Source organism: Homo sapiens, chromosome 2 (genome assembly GCF_000001405.40).
Source record: "Homo sapiens chromosome 2, GRCh38.p14 Primary Assembly".
NCBI classification, from domain to species: Eukaryota; Metazoa; Chordata; class Mammalia; order Primates; family Hominidae; genus Homo; species Homo sapiens.
The window spans coordinates 358,254-366,126 of record NC_000002.12 but is presented as its reverse complement, the minus strand read 5'-3'; positions in this window follow the sequence as shown (position 1 = coordinate 366,126).

Sequence of the window (7,873 nt, the reverse complement as noted above, 5' to 3'; positions counted from 1 at the left end):
ATAATGTGGCCCCGCCTGAGTCCTGGCGAGGACGCTGCCTCTGGCTCTCTGTCTCTCTCCTGCCCACTGGCTCTTCCTCACACCTGACCTCTGACTCCACCCCTCACATCGGCCGCCCTGGCTCAGTCTCTGCTGTTATTGGGACGCACACAGTGGGTGCCCCTGGGACCCCCCACTTGTGATGACGGCCAAGGTCCTCCAGCCTCAGCTTCTGCCCTGAACTCTTGACCTCAGCACACAGTCGTCTACCTCGCCTCTCCTCTTGAATATCCAGTCACCTAAAACTCAGCATCCCAGACGGAGTCCTGGCCGCGGCCTCGCCCCAGCCTGCAGCCCCTCTTATCCAGCTCATGGCAGCTCCGTCTTGCAGGTGCTCTGGCCAAGCACTGGAGCATCCTTCATTCCTGTCTCTCTGCCCCCCAAATCCAATCTGACCGGAAATGCTGTCTTATCTGCTTTTAAAACATTTCTGGGAGCCGGGACACTGCCCACCTGGTTCATGGCACAGCACCCAAAGGCTGTTCCTCTTCTGCCCTTTCAGGCTGAGCACAACAGCGCAAACCCACCGTGAGGCACAGCCAGTCACTTGCGCAACGTCCTCAGGTCTTGCTGGGGTAGGGACGGCGCTTCTGATCTTACTCAAAATACCAATTACATCCTTTTCCTAACTTCCCTGATCTGGTGATTCTTATAACTCTCAATTCCTCGAACACGAGTGTGCCTGGAGCACCAGTGCTGGAGACTGATGTACTGACACTTCCCTAGAGGAGATGCGACAGGGTATTGAACATGCCTTCTTTCTTGACACATGGAAATAAATGTGCAAGAAAACAAAAAGATGCAGAGAGAGCCACCAAGGCCTGGAGATGAGAGCCATGGGGCATCAGCCCAGGCGAGCCCCGTCCCCTCCCTCCCTGGCCTGAGCTTTCTCATCGGCAACATGAGCGGCTCTGGCCGGGATTAGGTCATCGCCGGTCTCTGTTCTAGGCCAGCCGTATGGGACTGATGAGGCTTCTAAATCTGCTCTATGCTCATCGAGGTTTCTCAGATGCCAGGCAGAGAATAAGGCGACGCTGGAGACCCTTCTGGTGGTGAAGTTACCTGCGTCTCCCTCTCTCTGTAAACTGTGGACTCTCAGTTTCTGTTTGTGGCTTGTCTCTGTAATTAATTAAGATTGCACCGTATTGCTCAGGGCTCAAATGATGTTTGCAACAAAGTATAATGTATTGATGGAGCTAATCAATGTCACTTAGCATTGATTTCACAGCCCCGTTCTCAGGGCTTGTATTCATCCACTGATAGGCAGTGTCTGGGCACTGTGCCTCTAGATAAGGGTGTGACCCGATGGAAACATTTGGCCTCTCACCTCAGGGTCGCCTTATCCAGGAGGCAACATGGGCATAGTCACCCCCAGAACCATGAGCACTTCAAAGTTAAAAAATGGCTTCAAAACCGGAAAAATAAGCTACAAACTTAAAATTAGCACCTTAATTATTAGTCAAAAAAGTTACCTTTTTCATCTTAGCCACGTGATTGCAACTCAACTAACATATTTCTTCATCAGTTGTATTTATCGTGTGATGCCACTGCATTTGACGTGCGATCTGCTGTGAGGTTTGGTGCTCAAGGCCTGGGAAAGCCTCACAGAGGTCCTCCTCCAGCCATCTCCCTACCCATCTCTACACTCTAAGTCAGGTTCAATCATCAACCGGGAGACCAGCCGTTCAAACCCGTTCACTTTCATCTCTAACACTGTAAGTCGGGTTCCATCATCAACCGGGAGACCAGCCGTTCAAACCCGTTCACTTTCATCTATAACACTCTAAGTCGGGTTCCATCATCAGCCAGGAGACCAGCCGTTCAAACCCGTTCACTTTCATCTCTAACACTCTAAGTCGGGTTCAATCATCAGCCAGGAGACCAGCCGTTCAAACCCGTTCACTTTTATCTCTAACACTGTAAGTCGGGTTCCATCATCAGCTGGGAGACCAGCCGTTCAAACCCGTTCACTTTCATCTCTAACACTGTAAGTCGGGTTCCATCATCAGCCCGGAGACCAGCCTTTCAAACCCGTTCACTTTCATCTCTAACACTTTAAGTCAGGTTCAATCATCAACAGGGAGACCAGCCTTTCAAACCCGTTCACTTTCATCTCTAACATGGTAAGTCGGGTTCCATCATCAGCTGGGAGACCAGCCGTTCAAACCCATTCACTTTCATCTCTAACACTGTAAGTCGGGTTCCATCAGCAGCAGGGAGACCAGCCGTTGAAACCCATTCACTTTCTGCAGCCTCATGATGTCTTCTTGATGTATTTCCACATCAGTTTGGAGGCAAGTAAGTTGCTGACTTAAGGTTCTGACATTTTCTTGGTCTTAATCTTGTTGTTGAGGTTAAAACTCTGCACCGATAACTTAGTTTCTAAATTTGAGTAAAAAGCACATCAGCCTCCCTGTCTAATCCTAAATGCTCTGAGCATTCCATGCTTGAAAATTAGGTGGCCAGTTTTCAAAATATGGGTAGCAGACAGGCAGCATGATATAAAGATAGAAAACGGTTAACAATTCAATCGTTATGCACACTTATCTCTACTACACAATCATTACAGACATTGATCTCTTCATTTCCTTAAAGGAAAAAAGTGGAATCACTAAATAGAATTACCAGCTTAGGCAAGTTAGGCATTGATTTGCCAAACCACTCTCTAGATTAATAATAAACTTCAAGTTTCTAGGATGTTGGACTCTCAGATCAATACCTTGTACCTTTAAAATACATCTTTTGTCGCTTTCACTCACATTAAAAGGCATTGTTTTCTGGCTTTAGTCCAACAGAAGTCATGATTTTAGAAGGCTGAAATAGTCTTTCTCAGTAGATACTAAAATTGCTTTGCAGAGAAGGAATCATGTGTCTCAGGTCTTGACTTCACAAGCCCTTGTCCTCAGTTCCTCACAACATAAGGTCCGAGTGGTTGGTACCAAATCCCCCAGGGCCTGGCACTGTGCCGAGTAGAGCTCAGTAACCTATTAAAATAGCCAACTCAGTAAAATAGAACAGGTTATGAATGAACAGGCTGTGATGTCTGAACATGGAGATGGAAAGTGTAAAAGGAAACCTTCTGCATGAACCTTTATCTTCTGTGTGAAACTTTATCTTCTGTGTGAACCTTTATCTTCCGCATGTCCCTTTATCTTCCGCGTGTCCCTTTATCTTCCGCATGAACCTTTATCTTCGGCGTGAACCTGTATCTTCTGCGTGAACTTTATCTTCCACGTGTCCCTTTATCTTCTGCATGAACCTTTATCTTCTGTGTGAACCTTTATCTTCTGCATGAACCTTTATCTTCCGCATGTCCCTTTATCTTCTGCATGAACCTTTATCTTCTGCGTGAACCTTTATCTTCCACGTGTCTCTTTATCTTCTGCGTGAACTTTTACCTTTTGCGTGAACTTTTATCTTCTGCATAAACCTTTACCTTCTGCATGTCCCTTTATCTTCTGCATGTCCCTTTATCTTCCATGTGAACCTTTATCTTTTGCGTGAACCTTTGTCTTCCACGTGAACCTTTATCTTCTGCGTGAACGTTTATCTTCTGCGTGAACCTTTATCTTCTGCGTGTCCCTTTATCTTCTGCATGAAACTTTATCTTCTGCGTGTCCCTTTATCTTCTGCGTGAACCTTTATCTTCTGCATGAAGCTTTATCTTTCGCATGTCCCTTATCTTCTGCATGAACCTTTATCTTCTGTGTGAACCTTTACCTTCTGCGTGAACCTTTATCTTCTGCGTGAACCTTTATCTTCTGCATGTCCCTTTATCTTCTGTATGAACCTTTATCTTCTGTGTGAACCTTTATCTTTAGCATGTCCCTTTATCTTCTGCATGAACCTTTATCTTCTGCGTGAACCTTTCTTTCGCATGTCCCTTTATCTTCTGCATGAACCTTTATCTTCTGCGTGAACCTTTATCTTCTGCATGAACCTTTATCTTCTGCATGTCCCTTTATCTTCTGCGTGTCCCTTTATCTTCTGCATGAACCTTTATCTTCCGCATGAACCTTTATCTTCTGCATGTCCCTTTATCTTCCACGTGAACTTTTGTCTTTTGCGTGAACCTTTATCTTCCCCGTGAACCTTTATCTTCTGCATGAACCTTTATCTTCTGCGTGAACCTTTATCGTCTGCGTGTCCCTTTATCTTCTGCGTGAAACTTTATCTTCTGCATGTCCCTTTATCTTCTGTGTGAATCTTTATCTTCTGCATGAACCTTTATCTTTCACGTGTCCCTTATCTTCTGCATAAATCTTTTATCTTCTGTGTGAACCTTTATCTTCTGCATGAACCTTTATCTTCTGCATGTCCTTTTATCTTCTGCATGAACCTTTTTCTTCTGCGTGAACCTTTATCTTTTGCAAGTCCCTTTTTCTTCTGCATGAACCTTTATCTTCTGCGTGAACCTTTATCTTCTGCATAAACCTTTATCTACTGCATGTCCCTTTATCTTCTGCGTGTCCCTTTATCTTCTGCATGAACCTTTATCTTCTGTGTGAACATTTATCTTCTGCGTGAACCTTTATCTTCTGCATGAAACTTTATTTTCTTCATGACCCTTTATTTTCTGCATGAACCTTTATCTTCTGCATGAACATTTATCTTTCACGTGTCCCTTTATCTTCTGCATGAACCTTTATCTTCTGTGTGAACCTTTATCTTCTGCATGAACCTTTATCTTCTGCATGTCCCTTTATCTTCTGTGTGTCCCTTTATCTTCTGTGTGAACCTTTATCTTCTGTGTGAACCTTTATCTTCTGCGTGAACCTTTGTCTCTACCTTGGCAGGCACCTGCCTCTCTCTTGGCCTCTGGTTCTCCCCCACTCTCATTAACTGTACTCAATTTTCTCTTTAATATATTGAACAGTTTGTGTTAGGACAGTCCAAAGTTGATGCCAAGTGGCAAATTTTCTAAAGCTTTGGATTTTTCCTATATGTACATTAAGATAAAATACAGAAGAGGAATACAGGAAAGAATTGCCAAAATGTCTGTCACATAATATTGTAACGTTTAAAACACACACTTTATGTGTAGTGCAATGTGGAAAATACCTTCAGAAGTATTGATAGTATTTGTGAGAAAGCCCTCATTTTTACTGTATAAATAGATATTACATAATATTTATCATTGTAACCATTTTTAGGTGTGCAGTTCAGCAGCATTAAGTTCATTCACATTGCTGTGCAATCAGCCCCACTATCCACCCCCAGGGCGTTTTCATCTTCCCGAAGTACAACTCTGTATCTGTTAAACCATCACACTCCTCCCCACTCCCCCAACCCCTGACAGCCTTCATTCTACTTTCTGTCTCTGTGAATTTGACTCCTCTAGGGAACTTTGCACGGAATCACATATGTTATGCCTGGCTTCTTACACGTAATGTAGCGTCTTCAAGATTCATCCATGTTGAAGTATGTATCACAGCTTCATTTTCTAAAGGCTGAATAATATTCCCTTGTGTGTATACACCATGTTGTGTTTATCTGTTCATTCGTTGATGAGCATTTAGGTGGTTTCTACCCTTTAAATACCATGTAAAATAGTGTTTTGAACACTGTTGGGCACACATCTGTTCAAGTTCCTGCTTCCAATTATTTTCAGTATATAACCAGAAGTGGCACTACTGGATCGTGTGGGGATTCTATGTTTAGTTTTCTGAGGAGCCCCGATACTGTTTTCTGCAGCTGCTGCACCATTTCACATTCTCATCAGTGTGAAAGGGCTCCAATTCCTCCACATCCTGGTCACACTTGCTACTTTCTGTTTGCTTGATAAGAGCCACCCTGATAGTTGTGAGGTGGTATCGTGTGGTGGTTTTGATCTGATTTTCCTTTGACTAGTGGTGTCAAGCATCTTTTCACGTGCAATAAAGTTATTGGCCATCCATGTGTCTTCTTTGGAGAAATGTCCACTCAACTTCTTTGCCCATAGTTTAATTAGGTTGGTCCTTTTCTTTACTTGTTGCGCTGTAGGAGTCCTTTATATATTTTGGAAATTAATTCCTTATCAGATTTATAATTTGCAGATATTTCTTCCAATTATATGGATTGCCTATCCACTATGTTGATAATTTCCTTTGCTGCACAAAAGTTTTCAATTTTAATAAAGTCCAATTAATCTATTTTTTCTTTTGTTACCTGTACTTTTGATGTCATAACCAAGAAACTACTGCTAAATTTAATATCATGTAGCTTTTCCCTATGTTTTATTTTAAGAATTTTATACCTTTACTCTTACATTTAGGCCTTTGAACCATTTTGAATTACATTTTTGTATGTGGTGTGAGGTAAGGCTCCAACTTCATTTTTCTGCATATGGATATCGAATTTTTCCAATACCACTGATTGAAAAGACAGTCCAGAAGGTTCTCATTTAAAAAAATAATATTCAAAGGATGCATTATTACCAGTTTTTAATTTAAATGCTAATTTTTATGTTAAAATACAAAAATGTTTATCATTTTTCTGCACTTACCCTATGCCAGGCACTATAGTAGACACTTTGTACCTATAATCCCTAAGGCTCGCAGAAGCCCTTGGAAGTTTATTCTTTTAACAAATATCTGTTCAGTGTCAACTTATTTACCAGCTACTTTTATGAACACTGGATTTAGCATTGATTAAAAAGCAAATGAAAATCCCTGGTTTCTTGAAGATTAATTCTAGTTGGGGATATAAACAATAAATCAAGAAAATGTAGAGAATCATAGCTAATTAGTCCTGGGAAAATAAACAAAGGAAAGGTGATAAGGAGTGCAGGGCAGTGGGGGATGCAGTTTAAAACGCAAGCCCTGGGGCTCACAGCAGATGCCTCTGACTGTGGACCTGGAGCTGAGAGGAAGCTAGCAGGGGAAGTGGGAAGGTCACGTCATCCACAGCCTGGAGAGCAGGTTCAGGGAGGGAACAGGCCAAGTCGGCAGCAGCAGGAGGGGTCAAAGATAAGGTCAAAAAGTTAGTGGGGTAGGGGAGGGTGCAGACCTGCAGGGCCTGGAAGCTGATTCGAAAGACCTCGAGAGATAGGGGTTGTCATTCTCATCATTCTCCAGCACCCCACTTTACGCACCCCACACAGCTTTGAGAGGTTTGGTATCATGCCAGGATGCCACAGGGAGCAAATCCTGCAGGTGGATGAGAACCCAGGTTGGCCTCACTCCACAGCCTACACTTTTTTCCACTGGGCCCTACTAACCAGCCCCAAATGAGAGGGACACAGTGACTTTTAGGAAGTTGATTAAATCACAATGTGTTCACTGATTGCAGAGTGAAAGAGTAGCTTCTATTTTTTATCACCCAATACAGGGAATGTCATGCCTTCTGCCTGGAGTGCCCCTCTGGCCCTCTCTCACTAATTAATTTGTATTCATCTTTCAAGTGACACTTTTTCCAAGCACTGTCCTTGACCACTGGATCTAAATCAGTGCTGCTAATCACACCTGCCTGTTTACTAGCACCCTTGTTATAAATTTCAATTACATCTTGATCTCTGGCTTTATTCGAGTAACACATTCCACGGACACTGTGTTGGGAATCCCTAAGACCAGAGCCTGTGACTTGCTCCCAGGGTCTCCAGTGCCTCCACTGCTCCAGGGTCACCGTGGATGCTGGGAAAGGCAGAGCTCAATGATGTGTACAGGAACATACAACGCCAGACATGAGCCACATTGTCGGGCCCTGTTAAAACACGGGTACCTGGTATCTATTTAGAAGATCGTGATGTTTACACAGCAGCTTTTATTCCATGCCATGGTCGTGTGCCACTCAGCCCGAAAAATGCTTCCTTTCATCATGAATCTCAGCCCCAGCAAACACGACACTCCCTTAATGC